Source organism: Homo sapiens, chromosome 16 (assembly GCF_000001405.40).
Source record: "Homo sapiens chromosome 16, GRCh38.p14 Primary Assembly".
In the NCBI taxonomy this organism is placed as follows: Eukaryota; Metazoa; Chordata; class Mammalia; order Primates; family Hominidae; genus Homo; species Homo sapiens.
In genome coordinates this window covers 54,855,823-54,877,160 of record NC_000016.10, presented here as the reverse complement: position 1 = coordinate 54,877,160, position 21,338 = coordinate 54,855,823, and the positions used below count along the sequence as shown (strand labels likewise).

The following is a 21,338-nucleotide window of genomic DNA, read 5'->3' as shown; positions in this document are numbered from 1 at the left end:
GTAATGTCTTTTGTTTTCTTGGTCTTAACCCATGCTAAGTAAAATGACCCCAGTGGGAAAATTTTTTTTTTTTTTTTTTTTTTTTGAGATGGAGTTTCTCTCTGTCACTAGGCTGGAGTGTGCGGTAGCGCGATCTCAGCTTAGTGCAACCTCCGCCTCCCGGGTTCAGGTGATTCTCCTGCCTCAGCCTCCCAAGTAGCAGGGACTATAGGCACGTACCACCACGCCCATCTAATTTTTGTAATTTTAGTAGAGACAGGGTTTCGCCATGTTGGCCAGGATGGTCTCGATCTCTTAATCCTCATGATCCACCCACCTCAGCCTCCCAAAGGGTTGAGATTGCAGGCATGAGCAACTGTGCCCGGCCTGGGACTAAATTTCTTAGTTGCCTGTGAGCAGTGTACAAATTCGAATTTGTGCACCTATTCATGGCTGGAATTCCAAGGAAAGGGTCCATGTAGGGACTGTCTGTGGACAAGGCACATTGATTCATAATGTTAATAATGAGAGCTCACATTTACTGAGCATTCACTATGTGCCAGACACTATGATGTATCTCATTTAATTCCCATAAAGAATTAAATTCCCATAAGGAATAATCCCTATTATTCCTATTTTTACAGGTGAGGAAATGGAGACTTAGAGAAGATGAGTTGTTACTTGAGTTTATGAGATTTATGAATGAGAGAACTAGGACTTGGACCCACATCTGTGTGATGCCAAAACTGGTACAGTCATGTTCTACTGTTCCCCTTCTCCATTTCAGCATCACAGAATCACTGGTTGGACTCATGCCATCTCAGAGGAAGAAAGATCCTAGAGGCCATCCCTCTGGTTTCACTCCTGTTGGCATTGGAGAGAAAACCTAAGGCTAGCATTCCCAGTAACCAATCATTTGCAGAGTGAGTACTGTCCTGTTGCAGTGGATTCCTTCTACTAAACAGTAGGAGTGGAAGCTGCAGCTTACCAAAGCTAAGAGGTACAAAAAAGCTGGCCTCAAATCATTTTTGGCAAATTCACGTAGCCCTTTGTCTCCAGGACAAAGGAAGCTATACCCTAGAGTAACTTAAATAAGTACAGTGCTTAACCTGAGAAAGACACCTTGGGGACCCGCTCTGACATATATTTCCTTCTGACTTACAATTAATGTAAAACACCTAATATTCCAGTGGTCAGCTTTCCAAATCCCTTGTGTCACCAGGCTTTGTGTTAAATGCAACACTCTGGCTCCCCAAGGTTGCAGACTCAGAACCACATGGAATAAAAAACAGCAGGACAATAGTCCAAGATTTACTATATAATGCAAATTTTCAACTAAAATCACAAGATGTTTCTGTCCACCCTTCCCCCCAAGTTCAGCTACTCCCATACCTCCTTAGATTTGAAAAGATTGGAGGGCAGGGAGAATGCCATTGAAGTAAGCAGATTTCACATCCTGTTGATGTTTTTGTAGCTGCCACATGTGGCCCTGTGTTAAGTAGCTGAACATTTCTGCTTGCTGGCAGCCAGAGTCAGCCCTCACCCCCTATGGAGCGCCTTCTGACTTCAAAAAGCCTTCTAGGGGGTTGCAGAGGAGAGGAAACATGGGAGAGGGTTGCCACTTATGCTGCCTGAATTCATTTTCCATCTTTGTGCTTCCTGGTTATTAGAGCCATGCAGGAGATGGAAGGACAGAGGAATGTCAGGGGTTTCTCCAAATAAGGTGCTAGAAACCCTGATACTGAAATAAGAGATTGCATTCTTCTAGAAGCAACATAAGATTATTTTTTAAGCATGACTAAACATAATTTCAATTAAGAAGGTCTGTATATCAGATACACTAAGTATGCTGAATCAGCTAAGGAAGTCCTTGTTCTATATAAAAGCTCATCTCTTTGCATCTCCCAGAAAACAAGCCACTCATTGCATTTTCCACAGTGTGACAATTCTATTGGTGGCAGGCAATGCTGGCGTGAGGAGGCACTGCTTGCAGAGTGGCATAAGAAATGTCCCATTTGCAAACCCTCACTGTGCATAGCTGGAAGTCATGAATGAGGCTGAGATAAATATAAGCTAGCTGGACCCCCAGGTCAAGGAAGTCTTAATGGTGGCCAGCCTGTTGAATTATTTTCTATTGCCTGTTACTTTCCAGAACCAGAAAGGGCCTTCAGAGTTTACCAGACAGTTTTCTCTATTGAAAATAAACCAACATAATACTTATTGTGTTCTACTTTTATTTATTTTATTTTATTTTATTTTTATTTTATTTTTTTGAGACAGAGTCTTGCTCTGTTGCCCAGGCTGGAGTGCAATGGTGTGATCTCGGCTCACTGCAACTTCTATCTCCCCAGGTTCAAGTAATTCTCCCACCTCAGCCCTCCCAAATATCTGGGATTACAGATGTGTGCCACCATGCCCAGCTAGTTTTTTTTGTATTTTTAGTAGAGATGGGGTTTTACCATGTTGGCCAGGCTGGTCTCGAACTCCTGACCTCAAGTGATCCACCCACCTTGGCCTCCCAAAGTGCTGGGATTACAGGCGTGAGCCACCATGCCCAGCTACTTTTATATTTTGGATGAAGGTTTAAAATAATATAATAATTAATATTTTTTAATATCAATTTTTATTTTTTTAATTTGTAAACTTTTGGACTTTTAGCATAGTACTGTAGTTTTCTGCAGGAGCCAACTTACTCCAATAAATTTGGTAGAGATGTTATTATAATGTATTAGGTTAATGAATAATAATAAATGGATTTTTATTTTAAAATGTAGTCAGTCCACAGGAATTTATTGCTGTATGTAAGGAACTGTGCTAGATACCATGGTAATATGGTTTGGCTCTGTGTCACCACCCAGATTTCATCTTAAATTGTAATCCCCACTTGTCCAGGGAGGGGCCTGGTGGGAGGTGATTGAATCATGGAGGTGGATATCCCCCTTGCTGTTCTCGTGATAGTGAGTGAGTTCTCACGAGATCTGGTTGTTTGAAAGTGTGTGGCACTTCCCCCTTCACTCTCTCTTCTGCTTTGCCGTGGTAAGACGTGCCTGCTTCCCCTTCGCCTTTTGCCATGATTGTAAGTTTCCTGAGGCCTCCTAGCCATGCTTCCTGTTAAGCCTGCAGAACTGTGAGTCAACTGAAACTCTTTTCTTCATAAATTACCCAGTCTCAGGTGGTTCTTTACAGCAGTGTGAGAATGGATTAATACACACGGGCATCAGATGTTTAGAACATTAACGATCCTCCTCTGTGTTCCTACAGCAGAGATCCATGTTGAGACTTGAATACGACTCGTTCGTGGTGATCTTGGACAGGAAAGGGCTGAAGCCCTTTCAGCAGCACCTGCCCTTTGAGTTTTTCCAGTGGTAGGGCTGAAGTTTATTTCAGTCAGTCTCTTTGTCACTGTCTCTGTCTCTCTCCCCCTTCCAACCCATGGGACGGACTATGGTTAAAGTCGAGCTGGAGGTTTCTCAGTGTGAAGCTATTTGGCCCATTTAGAGATTAAACCTAGATTCTTAGGCTTCCTAGTGCCTTTCTTTAGCCAACTGGACTTGGCAGTTTGAAAGTAAATGCTAATCGTTAATCATTTGAAATATCTTTCTCCAGTGGGATCACGAAGGGGAAGGTGGCTCGCTGACTGGTGCAGTTCTCACAACGTGAGCTTTGGTCCTCAGTTTAGAAGCAAATCAAGTCTGGGCATTATCGGGCCGATACATATCCCCTCAGGTTCTAGGGTATGGCTTGGTGGGCAACATGCCCCATGACCTAGTCTGCTTCACAATAACCTGCATTTATCAAGAGTTAACAGTACCTGCAGATTGCAAAGCCACTGATGCAAAAGTGTGAACCGCAAGCCTACTGTTAGGTGGCAACCAAAAAGCTACCATGGTGACTCGTGAGGAAAAACTTGTCTTCCTCTGAAAATATGTGTTCTATGGGTTAGCCAGCTGGAATTTTAGAGCAACTTGAAAGGTGATTCAGCTGATGGCCTTTGTTAGCTCAAAGCAGAGGGGTTTCCTTTTGTTTTTAACTAATAAAGCTTAACTGTTACAGGAAATACATATATAAAGAAAAGCATTTAGTTTTTAGTGAATTCAGAATTGCTAAGTTACAGTATTGAGATAGATCCAGTATGCACAATAGTCCAAATGTTTGATAGGCCTTAAAGTTAAAAGATGACAGTCAAAGGGGCCCATTAGCCAATGTCCAGATTCTGAATAGTAAACATGCAGCCCACTTGCTCCTGTCCTTCTCCTTCCATTTTCAAACAACTTCCTAATCCATCCAGGTGCTCTTTCCTGAGCCCAGGTGTGGCTTCAGAACCTTTCTCAACATAAGACCCAAAGTCAAGTGATAGGAATTAGCTCTTGAGATGAAATTTATATATCAGCTCTGATATAGGTAGCTTCATTCAAGAAAATTTCAACACAATACTTTTTTTTTTTGTCTACACTGGTTTGTTTATATATTCTCCCTCTCTTTCTGTCATGACCTTTGTGTGTTACTGTCAAAATTGTGTCAATTCCAAACCTAGACTTACTAGACACAAGTGCCCCAATAGCTACAAGGAAGAGAAGGAGCTTTTGAATGTCAGTTTCAACATCCACAGTATAATGAAATGTTGTAGTAAACTGACATTTCTTTTTTTTTTTAGGCGGACTCTCTCTCTTGTCACCCAGGTTGGAGTGCAGTGGTACAATCTCGGCTCACTGCAACCTCCACCTCCTGGATTCAAGTGATTCTCCTGCCTCAGCCTCCCGAGTCACCGGGGTCACAGGTACCCGCCACCATGCCCAGCTAATTTTTGTATTTTTAGTAAAGACGGGGTTTCACTATGTTGGCCAGGCTGGTCTTGAACTCCTGACCTCACCTCAAGTGATCCACCTGCCTCAGCCTCCCAAAGTGCTGGGATTACAGGCATGAGCCATTTCACCTGGCCACAAAGTGACTTTTAACCAGTGTTAACTGGATTTTGTTAGTTTGAAAAATGAACCATCTTTAGTCTTTTAATTAAAGTTTCATGAAAAGTCTATGGATTAGAAAAACATTTTTCAGATTATGTTTTAAAATGTAGGACACATTTCCTTTCAGCCAAAACAAAGGCTGTGTGTATTTGCGTTCACAACTGAGCTAAAAACCATTTAATGAGCACTATTTGCCAGGGACTATGGAAATTATTGTTAATGTGTTTTTATTCATTTTCTAGGGCCACCATAACAAAACACCACAAACTGGGTGGCTTAAACAACAGAAATGTATTGTCTCACATTTCTGGAGGCTGGAAGCCCAACACTGAGGTGTCAGTAGGTTTGGTTTCCCTTGAGACCTGTCTTCTTGGCTTGCAGATAGCTACCATCTGGCTTTGTCTTCAGGTGGCCCTTCCTCTGCGTGCCTGCATCCTTGACATCTCTCGGAATGTTTAAATTTCCCCTTTTTATAAGGACACTAGTCAGATTGTATTATGGCCCATCCTAAAGGCTTTATTTTATTTAGGTTGGTGCAAAAGTAATTACTTTTAATGGCAAAACCCACAATTACTTTTGCACCAACCTAAATAAAATTTATATAATAAAATAACTTAATCTCTTCTGTAAAGGCCCTATCTTCAGTCACATTTTTAGGTGCTGGGGGTCAGGACTTCCACATGTGGATTTAGTGGGAGGTGGGGGAAGCAGTAGATACAATACAGCCCATAACAGTGTTGAGACGTCACAACAGTTTTTATGATCAAGTGATATGGTTTGGATCTGTGTTCCCACCCAAATCTCATGTTCAGTTGTAATCCCCAGCGTTGGAGGTGGAGCCTGGTAGGTGGTGATTGGATCATCATCAGAGTGGATCCTTCATGAATGGTTTAGCACCATCGCCCTTGGCATTGTCTTGGTGATCATGAGTGAATTATCGGGAGATCCGGTCATTTAAAAGTGTGTGGCACCTCCCCCCGCCCCTTTTCCTCCTGCTCCGGCAATGTGAAGTGCTGGCTCCTCCTTCCCCTCCGCCATGACTGTAAGTTCCTTGAGGCGTCCCAGAAGCAGAACTGCCATGCTTCTTGTGCAGCCTGTGGAACTGTGAGACAATTAAGACTCTTTTCTTTAGAAATTACCCAGTCTCAGGTATTTCTCTATGGCAGTGCGAGAACAGACTAATACTATCATTACCGCCATTTTAGAGCTAAAGAAACAGAGGTTGATAGAAGCCGAGTTATTTGCCTGATGACTTTTATGTAGCAAACCCAGCATACCATTCGCATGTCTGCCCTGTATTTCTTATTCAGCTGTGTATGTCAGAGATAAAATTTAGTTTAAGAAGTGAGTTTTAAAAAGCCCATTGACATTCCTAGATTCCTTTCAAAGAAGGTGTATGTAGCAAGGTTGCTAAGGTAGCCTCTGCTCCTTACCAGCTGTGTGACCTCAGGCAGGTTAAGTTACCTCTCTGGCCCTTGGTTTTCTCATCTATAAAATGGAACTATTAATAGTACCTGCCTTATAGGACTGTTGAGGAGGGAAGGTCCTTATAACAATGTCTGTACGTAGGTATTCAACATATGGTAGCAGCTATTATATATGATAATGTTTATTCTGAGAAGAATGCATTTTCAAAATAGGACAAAGTGATTATCATTCCTTCTTTGCATTTGAAAGAGTTATTAGATGTTGGTTATTTGAATCTATCTATTAATCCGTTTTCAATATTATCATTTTCAGTATGTTATGTCATTTTACATTGGCAGCATGTCAGAGGCCAGTGTAATATGTCAAAAGTGATTTAATTCATTGGCTGCATGTCATGAATGTGACACAGCACTGGGAATCAGACCAATAGTACCTGATTTTAACACATGCTGGGCATATCAGTGTGTTTCCTTGGAGTTAGGTGATATACCGGCTATTATAGCTGCTGAATAATTTTCTGGACAGGCCTGAAAGACATTAGAGATGATAAGTATCCCCTACAAAACAGTTTTCAAATGGAATGTTGCAGAATCAGGTCCACCAGAGCCCATGTTGAATGGCAGCAGATGGCTTAATTTCTAAACAAACCCTTTTGTACTCCTGTTCATCTGTTTTTATGAACAAATTGAGGTAAACTGAAATGAATTAAGATACATTAGAAATGTTTTATTTGGGCCAGGCGCTGTGGCTAACGCCTGTCATCCCAGCACTTTGGGAGGCCAAGGCGGGTGGATCACCTGAGGTGAGGAGTTCATGACTAGCCTGGCCAACATGGTGAAACCCCATCTCTACTAAAAATACAAAAATTAGGCCGGGCGCGGTGGCTCACGCCTGTAATCCCAGCACTTTGGGAGGCCGAGGCGGGCGGATCACGAGGTCAGGAGATCGAGACCATCCTGGCTAACACGGTGAAACCCCGTCTCTACTAAAAAAATACAAAAAATTAGCCGGGCGTGGTAGCGGGCGCCTGTAGTCCCAGCTACTCGGGAGGCTGAGGCAGGAGAATGGCGTGAACCTGGGAGGCGGAGCTTGCAGTGAGCCGAGATCGCGCCACTGCACTCCAGCCTGGGCGACAGAGCGAGACTCCGTCTCAAAAAAAAAAAAAAAAAAAAATACAAAAATTAGCCAGGTGTAGTGGCGCATGCCTGTAGTCCCAGCTACCCTGGAGGCTGAGGCATGACAATCACTTGAATCCGGGAGGCAGAGGTTGCAGTAAGCCGAGATCGCACCATTGCACTCCAGCCTGAGTGACAAGAGCAAAACTCCCATCTTAAAAACAAAACAAAAATGTTTTATCTGTCCTTTCGTTACACAGATGACTGTATATTTGATTGTTATTTTGCAAATGTTGGTTTTTTGGAGAAAATAATCAAAATAAAGTGTGTAACAGATAAACTAAATCATTTTGATAAAGATACAAGGAAAATTTTACCTTTTCTTATAAATTATTCCTAGTAGTAGGTCACAATTGAAAATATAGAACTCTTAAAAAGGTGTATTTTTGTCGTTAATGAAACTCTTCTGGGAAGATATAAAATGAACATAAAACAGTTTTGTATTTCAATGCCTCTTCATTGCTGTTACTGAAAAAATGTATAATGGAGTGGTGGTACATAATAAGTTTCTAGAGCATCACATTCTAAAAGGTAGTGCATGGCTGCCTCTAGAGTTCAACTGGATGAATGTGATTGGATGGTGGGGTGAGTGAGCACTGTATTTACCAGCATAGTGCATAAAGTGACAGGGAGAATGCAGCCAGGAAACCAGGAAATGTGAATGGAATATGATTATATTATCTACTCCCAGAGTTGCCAGGTAATATACCTAATTCTTTTTTTTTCTTTCTTTGAGACAGAGTCTTGCTCTGTCACCCAGGCTGGAATCCAGTGGCACGATCTTGGCCCACTGCAACCTCCATCTTCCAGGTTCAAGAGATTCTCCTGCCTCAGCCTCCCGAGTAGCTGGGATTACAGGCACATGCCACCATGCCCGGCTAATTTTTGTATTTTTAGTAGAGAAGGGGTTTCATCACATTGGCCAGGCTGATCTCGAACTCCTGACCTCAAGTGATGTGTCCGCCTTGGCCTCCCAAAGTAATGGGATTACAGGCATGAGTCACTGCACCTGGTCTGGAATATCCTTAATTCTTTATCTTCCTTCTCTTTACCCCAAGAATTAAAGATTAATTACATCACATTAAAAAATATATCATCTGACTCTCACATTATACATGGATTGAACATAATTAACCAAACTAAGGGCAACTTTATCATGTGGTGGTTATACAAATGATAGAAAAACAAATTTGAGGGATATACTGTTTAAAAAGGAAGATAGACACTTCCATTATCATTATCATCAACAAAGTCAAGTTGAGTTTATTGTTCATGTGGAATGCTGTTGGAAGTTGCTGGTTTTTCTTGGCTGCTGGCATAAGGAAAGTGTTATACCTCTGACCAGGTATCTTATTGGGATGTGACGTCTTGGGAGTGGGGCCAGGCCCTTCTGAGTTGGTCCCCACTTCCCAATGACACCCTGAGGCTGTCTTGAGTGTCATATCCCAGGGCCAAGACTTTCTCCTATGACAAATAGACAAATAGACATGCTGGTAGACACACCAGCTCACACTATTGTGGTGCTTCACTCCCAGAAGGCCTGGTGTCCCTGCAATGTAACAAGCCTCTCTAATAGCCCAACAAATGGGGAGTTACTGGCTTCAGTCAAAATAACTAAACACCATTTCTTGACTGTCTGCTATATGCATTGCACACTTTACGTGCATTCTTGTTTAATACTTGCAGCAAAACTGTAAGGTAGGTGTTATCCTCACTTTACAGATGAGGACATTGAATGTGGCAAAGACAGTTCTATGTGTTGTGCAAGTCCCACTGTGCTTTTCTTTGGTGCACAAGAAGACTGCACTCCTCAATACCCTTGCAGTTAGCTTGGGACCATGTGACTAGCTCTAGCCAGTGGTAAATGAAATGGCCACACATCATTTCCAGATGCAGCATGAAAGTGTGGTTATGTGTACTCCACATTCTCTCTTTTCCATCATGTTTTGAGCTGGCATTGTCACTAAAGAGAGGCAGGATGCATTGCTGAGTCATCACATCGGGGGCAGCCACCTTGGTGAATCACCCAATTCACAGAGGACTTCATGTGAGTAAAAGAAACCTGTGTTTTATACAACCACTAATATTTTGAGGCTTATTTGTTACTGAAGCATAGCGCAGCCTTTCCTGACTAACACATTGAGCCCCAGAGGGAACAAGTGAACTCGTCATGATTCCATATATGCTGGTCTAGAACTCCCACTCAGATCTATGACTACAAAGCCCCTTTTATCCTTTCCGCTCTTATTTCTTTGATTAGGACATACAGGAGGGCTAAAGTCCACAATGCAACATTTAATATTCCTTGAGTATGGGACATTACACTGCAATTTTCTTTGCCTTCTTACTCCTTACCTGCCTGCAAGTGATGGTCAGAGGAAGCACGTTGGTGGCTGGATTACTGGATGTCCAAATGACATTTATCACCCCCGCAAACACACTTTTTTCTTTTTTGTTGTTTTGTTTGAGATGGAGTCTCACTCTGTTGCCCAGGCTGGAGTGCAGTGGCGCAATTTCGGTTCACTGCAACCTCTGTTTTCTGGGTTCAAGTAAGTCTCCTGCTTCAGCCTCCCAACTAGCTGGGATTACAGGTACACACCACCACACCTGGCTAATTTTTGTATTTTTAGTAGAGACGGGGTTTCACCATGTTATGTTGGCCAGGCTGGTCTTGAACTCCTGACCTCAAGTGATCCACCCACCTTGGCCTCCCAAAGTGTTGGGATTACAGGTGTGAGCCACTGTGCACCCGGCTCCCCACCCCTGCCTACTTTTTTAACCAAAGTAGTTATGTGTAAGTAGAGTGCTACCCTTCTTGGAGGATAGTGACCAGATGACCCACTCTTCTTTTGCCAAGGAGTAGATGGTTTAATGTGAGCCACCCATCCACACTCAAGGGCTAGATCCATATGACCAGGGAATTCACTAGATGGTTGAGTGGAATAAAGAAAAGAGAACCCCAGATTAGAGAAATCACATGTAATGTCCACATGGGCCCTAGAGCTTCTGCATGACTCCAAAAGAAGGTATCATACTGGTGATATGGTAGGACCAGAGAGAGGGCCAAGAAGGGTATCATTCTAGTTACACATAACTACTTTGGTTAAAAAAGTAGGCAGGGGTCGGGGGCCGGGCACATGGTGGCTCACGTTTGTAATCTTAGCACTTTGGGAGCCCAGCGTGGGTGGATCACTTGAGGTCAGGAGTTCAAGACCAGCCTGGCCAACATAACATGGTGAAACCCTGTCTCTACTAAAAATACAAAATGGGTTATACCAAGTTTGTATGTGGTTATTCACAAAGATTTGATTATTTACATTGAGCATTCATTCGTTGGTCATTTTTAATGTTTCCAATGTTGAGAAAATAAAGATCTATGAAATAAATGCCTTTCCCTGAAGGAGCTAACCATCTTGATGGCAAACCAAACAAGTGAACAATTATAACTCACCACAAAAGATACTACACTTTATAGACACAAGCATGGCAGGCTTTGGGATTGTGGAAGCAGGCCTCCAGGCTCAGCTGGGTAGGATATGGGAGAGTCAGGAAGGACTTTCACAGGAGTAGCCCCCGGGCAGACTGTGAAAACCCAAGTAGTCCCAGCAATAGAGCTGCGTATGAAATCATAAAATTGGTGTTGTTCTACCTTCAAGATTCTCTAGGGTAGATCATCCTTATTAGCTCGAGCCCTTGACCTCACACAATCCATGGATATCTCAGGGGTTCTGCAAAACTCCCAATATTGAATCTGAAATTTTGTGTGCGGAAAGTTTTTCTGGTCATACTTTAAACAGATTCTCAGAGGTTTCTTTGACCTCCAAAAATGTTATCATCATAGCCCCAGAGGACACAGCAGTTCTTTGGGAAGCCTAGCTACTGTGTGGTTGAGAAATCTGCTTGCCTGCAGAGATATAATTGTGAAAATGAACTCATGGAGAATAATTTCACTCCAAGGACTTTTCCCCAATATTTTTGTGCCTGGAACTTAATAAGGCAAAATGGTTTATAAACTCAATGCCAAGGCATTGCTTGCCTACATTATATACACATACACTCAGAACTTTTCTAGAAAATTCAAACCATAGAGATAAACATATAATTAACATTAGAAGGCTTTCTTCCACTCATCACCTTTGCCACTAACTGCTCTCTTTCCCCAAAGGCAAGCACTGTTAGTTGGTCCTTGTATTTCCAGGGGAAAAATATGAATTGCTACCAATATATATGTATTTTTATTTAATCTGAAGGGATCAAGTTGTACATACCACTCTGAGCCTTGCTTTTTTTCTCTGTATATATGAATAATTGGTACATCTCAGAGATAATTCTGTAGCAAGCTCATGCCAGTCTATCTGATTCTCTGTGTGGCTCAGGGAGTCTTTCCTTGTTGGGTGGTACTGCCATGGGGCAGGGTGGGGGAGGTGCTCAGCTCCTGGCATGATGCTCCTTGAGGTTGCTTATCCATCTTGTTTAATGTACTTTTGCAAGTATTTTCCTAGACTAAATTCCTAGCATGGAATTGCTGGGTTAAAGGGTACGTGCATTCACAATGTTGATCAATATTACCAAATTGCCCCTTAACATAGTTGAACTAATACATATTCTTACCCACAGTAGATGAGAGTGCCTATTTCTGCACACGACTTGTATTATCAAATATTCTAATTTCTGCCAACATAATAGGTAAGAATCATTCTCTCATCATTGCTTTGATTTGTATGTCTTTGATTATGAATGAGGTTGAGCACCATTTCATGCATTTACTCACTTTTGTGGATGAATTGCCTATTTATGTCCACTGCTCATTTTTCCACTGGATGTGTCTTTTTCCAACTAAATTATATAAATTCTTTGTCAATTAAGGGAATGAGTCCCTAACGGGCTCATGGCTTACACCTGTAATCCCAGCACTTTGGCAAGCCGAGGCGGGCAGATTGCTTAAGGTTAGGAGTTTGAGACCAGCCTGGCCAACATGGTGAAACCCCGTCTCTACCAAAAATACAAAAAATTAGCTGGGTATGGTGGTGTGTGCCTGTAATCTCAGCTACTTGGGAGACTGAGGCAGGAGAACTGCTTGAACCCAAGAGGTGGAGGTTACAGTGAGTCGAGATCACACTACTGCACTCCAGCCTGGGCGACAGAGTGAGACTCTGTCTCAAAACAATAAAAAGGAATGAGTCCTTATATTAATAGTAAATATAGTTGCATATATTTTCCCTGATTTAACCTTTGTCTTTTATCTTTGTTTACAGTATTTTGGGCCATGTTAAGTTCTTTAATTGGTATGTATTTAAATTTATGAACACTCAGCAAATTTGTTGAGAGTTAGACCAGATCTCAAGAGCCCATCAAGTTTTAAAGATGACTGTATAAATATTAACAACCACAAAACTTAAAGGAATGAGTGTCCAATGGTAGATTTTTGCTGTCCTTGATGGGTAGGCGGAGGCCACCTCTGTTGTTTGGGTCTTTCCAATGATTTTCTCATCTCTCTTGTGAGATACTCTGTATTGCAGCAGTTAAATAGTTGATACTACAATCAAGTTATAATTTTTTTAAATGTTTTTATTATTGTTATAAAAGTCCTATGGTTCACAAAATCCAGGCTCTAGCACCATGCCTAGTACCTAAAAATGTGCCAGACAGGCCTATGAATGTTTGAAGTAAAAGGAAAGTGACTGCGGAAGGGACGAAGTCTCTAGAAGGCTTGGAGAGCTCAAGGACACTCCAGATTTATTCCCGGGAAGGAGGAGAAGAAAAATAAATTTGAAAGAACACTTATGAAATTACTTTGAGTAGCTTTAAATAACTTATGTTAGAGTTTTAAACTTTTTGTAAAACATAGATCATCATATTTGTAAGCCTCTACAGCTATAAAACTTAAACTATTAAGGAGATCAGTCATCAAAATTACAGAGCTTCTCAAAACCTTGAGGTGCATATGAATCGTCTGGGGATCTTTGTTAAAATGCAAATTCTGATTTGGTCGGGGGCTAGGGTAGTGCAGAAATTCTTCATTTCTAATATGCTGCTTGACCCTTCGGTAGCCAGGTCCTAAACTACACAGCCACCCACTCCCCTCTTCCTTTTCGTCTCTCTTTTCTTCCTTCTCTGTCTCTGGGCACAGGATCACATACTATTTATGTGTGCATATACACATGCTTTAGATATGTCTATATTTCTGCTTTCTAAAACATTAATTAAGAAATAGGCGATTGCTACAGAAACCACAATGTACTTCATGAAAAATCATTGGGTACAAAGGCAAAACATTGACAAATTGATATTTTCTTGCTTCGTCACGCCTGATTTAAGGAAATGAACTCAAAATAAGCTATGTGAATTGGAAATTGACTTCCACCACATTTAAATTGTTCTCCTTTAAAATATTAGCAGTTGAGTGTGTAAACCAATATTTATTTTTTAATCAAAGGTTTGCAGCAAATGGTTCGTAAATGAAAGAAATGAGGGAAGAACACTTCAAAATGTTCCTAGTATTAGAAGTGGAAATCGGATATTTTATTTCTTTAAATGGCAGACACAGCCCTACACTAAATTTCAGCCTGCTCTGGGAAGAGGAAATTGTATGTGAAACTGGCCATGTATAAAAGTCCAAGGCCAGAACCTCTCTGCCAGAGATCATAATAAATATTTTTCTATGGAAAGAAGTTTTGAGGATCCAGCTACATTAAGGCAGAGTCTATTAACAGAATAATTGTATAGAGAGGACCGCTTAAGAAAAGCTTCCAAAATTCCATTATCTTAACTGTCACTCGCCACTCGGAGTTGTCTTGGTGCAGTGTGTTTTCATGAATTACCCGAGCTGTTTGTTTTTCTTTTATCAGTCATCACGCTGTCAGCTGGGCCGTTCATAACAACTTTTGGCAGCTCATCAGGGGAGTTCAGAGCTTGAATAGACCCTATCAACTCTCACACCTCATTGTGTGAAACTGTTTACCAGCATTGCCTTTTTCTGTAAATATTACAAGGAGAGCCCTGAAAGGAGAGATGTGTGAAAACAAAATGGCCTAACCTTGTAGCGGTCGGCTGAGATGGCAGATCTGGGTTGACGGAGAATCTGCAAGTCCTTGCATTTCATTTATTCGGCCGAATAATACCTAGTCGCGGGTCTTGAAGTTGTGTGGATGCTAGTTAATTAGACGATACTTAATTTGACTTCACATTTGTGTCAGTTGGTGAAGGCGAGACTTTGTAATTAGGGAGTACAGATAGGGTTTCTGTCACAATTTTCCTCCCTCACTCTAATTTAATGTACACTTTTCCAGTGTTTTTCCCATTGTCTTTTATGCATGACCGGTGACTAGGTGGCCTCTATTACACAACCAACAGCAAGTGGACCCAGTGTCCTGGACTTTCTGTCAGATTTGCCCATCATAAATAATTTTCTATTTGAAATGAATGTCAACAATCCTCTTTTGAACTTTATAGCACCAACCTGCAAATGGTATGGGTTTCTTTTTTAGCTTGCATATGTAACTTTTTGCCGAAGTTATATATGCAACAGATTTTTAAGTCTCAACTAATGCTAATTTTATGAAGGAAACTAGCTGTCTCCCCAGTTTCTCCTCCTTAAAGGCAACCACTTTCAGCTCTTGTGGTGGATTATTTAGAAAATAATTTCACAGTGAGAAAGATACTGATTCACTTTGCCTGTTTTTGAATGTTACATAAATGAAATCATATTGCTGGAACCTGCTTCTTTCACTTAGCGTTAAAGTGATTTTTGTTTACCCCTTTTTAAAAAAATCAAGGTATAATTTACATACAATGAAATGCATCAATTTTAAATGTGCAGTTTAACGGGTATGAATACATGAATACACCCATATAACTGCACACCAATCAAGATACAGAACTTTCCCATCACCCCAAAAAGTTCCATCTTAACACATTTTCAGCCTCCAGGAGACAATCCTTTCCTATCTCTCTCTCTCTCTCTTTTTTTTTTTTTTTTTTTTTTTGACAGTTTTAGCTCTTGTTGCCCAGACTGGAATGCAGTGGCACAATCTCGGCTCACTGTAACCTCCACTTGCCCGGTTCAAGTGATTCTCCTGCCGCAGCCTCCTAAGTAGCTGGGATTACAGGCACGCACCACCACACCCGGCTAATTTTTGTATTTTTAGTAAAGACAGGGTTTCACCATGTTGGCCAGGATGGTCTCAAACTCCTGACATCAAGTGATCCGTCTGCCTCAGCCTCCCGAAGTGCTGGGATTACAGGTGTGAGCCACTGCATGGGGCCAATTTTTCTCATGTCTATCATCACAGGTTAGATTTACCTACTCTAGAACTTTCTATAAATGGAATCATAACAATGAGGACTCTTTTCTGTCTGGCTTCTTTTGCTTAAAATGATGTCTTTGAGATACCTGAGAAAACGTGTTCCTTTAAACTGTCAAGCGTATTCCACTGCACGAGTATACTACTGTTTGTGTATAAATTCACCTGTTGGTGGTCACTTCGATTGTTTCCAGTTTTTGGCACTTAGGTTTTCTTTTTATTATTGATTTGTAGGCATTCTTGCATATTTCAGATATCAAATCTGTTGTCAGAAATAGATTTTGCCCAGCACTTTGAGATGCCAAAGCAGGTGGATCACCTGAGGTCAGGAGTTCAAGACCAGCCTGGCCAACATGCTGAAACCCTGTCTCTAGTAAAAATACAAAAATTAGCCAGGCGTGGTGGCATGCACCTGTAATCCCAGCCAGTTGGGAGGCTGAGGCAGGAGAATTGCTTGAATCCAGGAGGCGGAGGTTGCAGATCGCGCCATTGCACTCCAGCCTGGGTGACGAGAGCAAAACTCCGTCTCAAAAAAAAAAAAGAAAGAAAAAAAGAAAAGAAAGAAATTTTTCAGGCTAGGTGCTATGGCTCATGCCTGTAATCTCAGCACTTTGGGAGATTGAGGTGGAAGGACTTCTTGAGGCATGAGTTGGAGACCAGCTTAGGCAACACAGTAAGACCCTGTCTCTACAAAAAATAAAATAAAATAAAATTATTTTGCAAATATTTCTCCCAGTCTGTGTCTTGTCTTTTCATTTTCTTCATGGTATTGTTTAATGAGCAGAAGTGTTACATTTTGATTATGTCCAATTTGTGATTTTTGTCTTCTATCATTAGTATTTTTTATGTTCTGTAGAAATTTTAGCTGAGCATAACAGCATGCAGATATTTTCCTGTATCTCGTTTTAGAAAACATTGAAGCTTAATAGTTTCAGATTTCACATTAAGGCCTCCTGTCTTAAGCTAATTTTTGTATATGGTATGAGGTAGCAGTCAAAGTTCTTCTGTTTTGTTTTTGTCTTTAATATGGATATCCAGTTGTTCTAGAATCATTTGTTGCAAAGACTTTTCTTTCTACATTGATGTGTGTGCCTGTGTGAGCATGCACAAACACCTTTGTTGAAAATCAATTGACTATACACACGTGAACCTATTTCAGGACTCTCAATTCTGTTTCATTGACTTGTCTGTCTATCTGATGCAAATAACAGCGTCTAAATAATTGTTGCTTTATAGTAAGTCTTGAAAGCAGGAAGGATATGTCTTCTATATTTTTTCTTTTAAAGGTTCTGTTGCTAATCTTCATCTTTTGAATTTTCATAATACATTTTAACTTCAGCTCATTAATTTCTACTAAAAAGCCTCCTGGAATTTGGATTGGGATTGCACTGAAGCTATAGATCAATATTAATTCTCTCAATCCATAAGCATGTTATATGGTTTAATTTTTTATTTAACCTTTTTCGGCAATATGAAATCATTTTCAGAATGTCTTACTTATTTTTGTTAAATTTTCAGTAGTTTATATTTTGCTGCCGTTATAAATGGAATTGCTATTTAATTTTATTTTCCAATGTTTTGTTTGTCAAAATTGAAATATAATGAATTAATTATTTATTTAATTAATTTATTTATTTTGAGAAGGAGTCGCTCTTTATCGCCCAGGCAGGAGTGCAGTGGCGCAATCTCGGCTCACTGCAACCTCCACCTGCCACCCCCCTTCCCTTCCCGCTCCCCGCCGCCCCCTGTTCAAGCAATTCTCATGTCTCAGCCTCCTGAGTAGCTGAGATTTACAGGTGCCTGCCACCATGCCTGACTAATTTTTTTTGTATTTTTAGTAGAGACGGGGTTTTGCCATGTTGGCCAGGCTGGTTTCAAACTCCTGACCTCAAGCGATCTGCCCGCCTCAACCTCCCAAAGTGCTGGGATTACGGGCGTGAGCCACCGTGCCCAGCCCAAAATTAAAGTATAATTGAGTTTTATATATTTACCTTGGCTGCCGTGACTTTGTTAAATTTATTTTTGGTTCTACTAGACCAGATGATGGTTCCTTAGGATGTTTTATATATGAAATCGTGTCATCTGCATAAAAGATAGTTTTGCTTCTTTTTTTTTAAATTTGTATGCCTTTATTTTTTTCTTACGTTGTTGTATTAGAACTTTCAGGATAATGGTTGCATAGAAGTAGGGAGAGTGGACATCTTGTTTCTGAACTCTGAAAGAAAGCATTAAATATTTCTCTATTTAGTATAACATTTGCTGTTGGGTTTTTATATATGCCATTTATTACACTGATGAAAGTTCTTTCTTTTCCTAGTTTTTTTGAGAGGTTTTTAAAAATCATGAATGTGGCTGGGTGCAGTGCAGTGGCTCACGCCTGTAATCCCAGCACTTTGGGAAACTGAGCCGGGTGGATCACCTGAGGTCAGGAGTTTGAGACCAGCCTGGCCAACATGGTGAAACCTCGTCTCTACCAAAAATACAAAAATTAGCCAGGCGTGGTGGTGCACTCCTGTAATCCCAGCTACTTGGGAGGCTGAGGAAGGAGCATCACTTGAACCCGGGAGGCGGAGGTTGCAGTGAACTGAGATGGGGCCACTGCACCCCAGCCTGGGCCACAAGAGCCAGACTCTGTCTCAAAAAAAAAAAAAATCATGAAAATGTATACAATGTTTTCAAAAATATTTTTGCATCAATTGAGATGTTATGCTTTTTTCTGTTTGATTCTGTTAATGTGATGAATTATAACATTGATTTTCTAATGGGAAACCAAACTTGCAATCCTGGCATAAGTTATTAATAACAGTTATCCTATTCACACAATGCCGAATTTGGTTTTCTAATATTTTATTGAGGACTTTGCGTCTTTACTCATGCAGGATATTGGCCTGTAATTTTCTTTTCTTGTAATGTCCTTGTCAAGTTTTGGCATCAGTGTTTATGCTGGCCTCATAAAACAACTTGGAAAGTGTTTTCTTCTATTTTCTTGAAGAGTTTGTGTAAGACTGGTGTTAGTTTTTTCCTTAAGGCTTTGATAGAATTTACGAGTAAAGCCATCTGGGCTTGGGATTTTCTTTGTTGAAAGATTTTTCATTATGAATTCAATTTTGAAAAAAAGATACAGGGCTATGTGAATTTTTCTTTTTCTTCTTGCTAATTTTGGTAAGATATGCTTTTCAAGGAATTTGTCCATTTGCTCTAAGCTGCTGAATTTATAGGCATAAAATCATTCATTGCTTTGTCTTCTTGGAGAATTGAATCCTTTATCATTATGTAATAACCCTCTTTATCACTGGTAATATTTCTTGTCTGAAGCCTACTTTGACATTAATGAAGCTACTCAGCTTTCTTTTGATTAGTGTCTCTATGGTACATCTATTTCCATCCTTTTACTTTTAACCTATCTATGTTTTTATGTTTAAAATGGTATTTTTGTAGACAGTATATAGTTGAGTCTTGCTTTTTATATTGTCTAGCAATTTCTATCTTTTTATTAGTGTGGTTTGCATTTAATATGATTATTGATATGATTGAGTTAAAGTCAATAATCTAAACAGCTGTTTTTGATTTGTTCCATTTGTGCTTTCTTTTGGCCCCCTTTTTGATTAATTAAGCATTTTTTACTATCTAATGTTATCTTCACTATTGAATTAACATGTGTAACTGTTTTTAAAAATTTTAGTAGTTGCCTTAGACTTTACCATACACATCTTGTTTGATCAAAGTCTACTTTCAAATAATTATCTTCTGTTTCATGTCTACTATAAAGGTAATATATTCCCACTTCCAGCTCCTCACCCTTGTTCTATTGTTGCCCTGTATTTACTCTTACAAATGCTATACATGCACAATACTTCTAATTTTGCTTTAGATAGTTATTTTTTAGAGCAATTACAAGTAATAAAACATGACTTTTATGTTTACCTTTAGTCATTCCATTTCCAATGCTCTTAATTTCTTTCTCTGGATTCAAGTTTCTATCTTCTATTACATTCCTTATGCCTGAAGAACTTTCTATAACATTTCTTATGGCATAGGTACACTGGCAATTAATTCTCTCAGGTTTTGTTGTTGTTGTTTGTTTTGAGTCTGGGAAAGTCTTTATTTCTCCTTTCTTTTTGAAAGATATTTTTGCTGGGTAAAGAATTCTGAATTTACTGGTTTTTGATGTCAATCAGCATCAAAGACATTATTCCACTATCTTCTGGCTTGCATAGTTTCCGATGAGAAATATTCTGTCCTTCTTACCTTTGGTTTTTAACTTCTGTGTGTACAGTGTGTCTGTTTTCATTGGCTGCCTTCAGAATGTTCTCATTGTCTCTGGTTTTCAGCAGTTTGAATATGATATGCCTATGATGTGGGAGTTCTTTTCGGGGGAGCATTTATTCTGCTTGGTGTTCTTTGAGCATCTTGGAACTATGATTCAGTATCTGTAATTCATTTTGGAAAATCCTTACATATTATTTCTTAATATCTTTTCTTTCTGGGATGCCAATTACATGTAGGTTAGATCTTTTGTTATTGTCCCATATCTCTTAGATGCTCTGTTGTGTTTTTCCATCCACATTCCATTCTTCCACTTTTCTGGCAATCAATGCCACAATTGTCATAAGCCCGGTTTCCATAATATGTAAGGGTCTCACCAAAGAAATTATTTGTTGTTGTCTTTTCTCTTGTTATCCAAATCCTTAGGGGTCTATCTCTTTAGAAGGTTGTTTTCTGCCACTTTAATAGTCTTAGAAGAGAGCAAAAGTGAATGCATTTGCACAATCTGCCATCTTTAATTGGAAGTCAAAATGGAATTTCATTAGTTAAATGAAGCTTAGTAGTGGTAAGGACTACATTTCCTGCTATCTTTGAAATAAATTAATCTAGTGTATCTTACTTTCTCATTTTAAAAGACTTTTGCATTATCAGAAATGAGTCACAAATAATGACAAACATGTATTATACACTCATCATGTGCTGGAGGTGTAAATCCTGTTCTATAATTACTTAATTCTCACAACAATTCTACTAGATAGACACACTTATTATCCTCATTTTTACAGTGAGGGTAAACTGAGGCACAGAATGATTAAGTAATTTGTCCAAAGATGCAGAAATAGAAAATGACAGAATCTGGCTTCTTAAACCATTATATTTTAACTACTTCAACAAATGGGAAGATAATTATTTTTAGGTAATATCTTTGTTTTTGGTCTCTATAATCCTTCAGTTATTACTGTTACCTCTCTAAGAATCTTAATCTATTAATCAGCAAGTACATATTTAGCACCCATTGTGTGCCCAGAATTGTTTTGTTTGCTATGGAGGTATAAACAAATATGGCAGGGCTGTTTCCTTCAAGGAGTTCACATTCTCCAAAGGAAAGGCCCCACAAATCTAAAAATAAACATTAAGGTCCAGAGGAGTATCATTATTATTATCATGATTTTTGAGACAAGGTCTTGCTCTGTCACCCAGGCTGGAGTGCAGTGGTGCCGTCA

The 21,338-nt window shown here is 39.9% G+C and overlaps 1 long non-coding RNA gene across 1 annotated transcript in view; it reads left to right on the top strand.

Annotated features, from left to right (window-relative positions):
* Positions 1-21,338, top strand: part of LOC105371275 (uncharacterized) — a 42,139-nt gene that overhangs the window by 16,621 nt on the left and 4,180 nt on the right. The window lies entirely within an intron of this gene.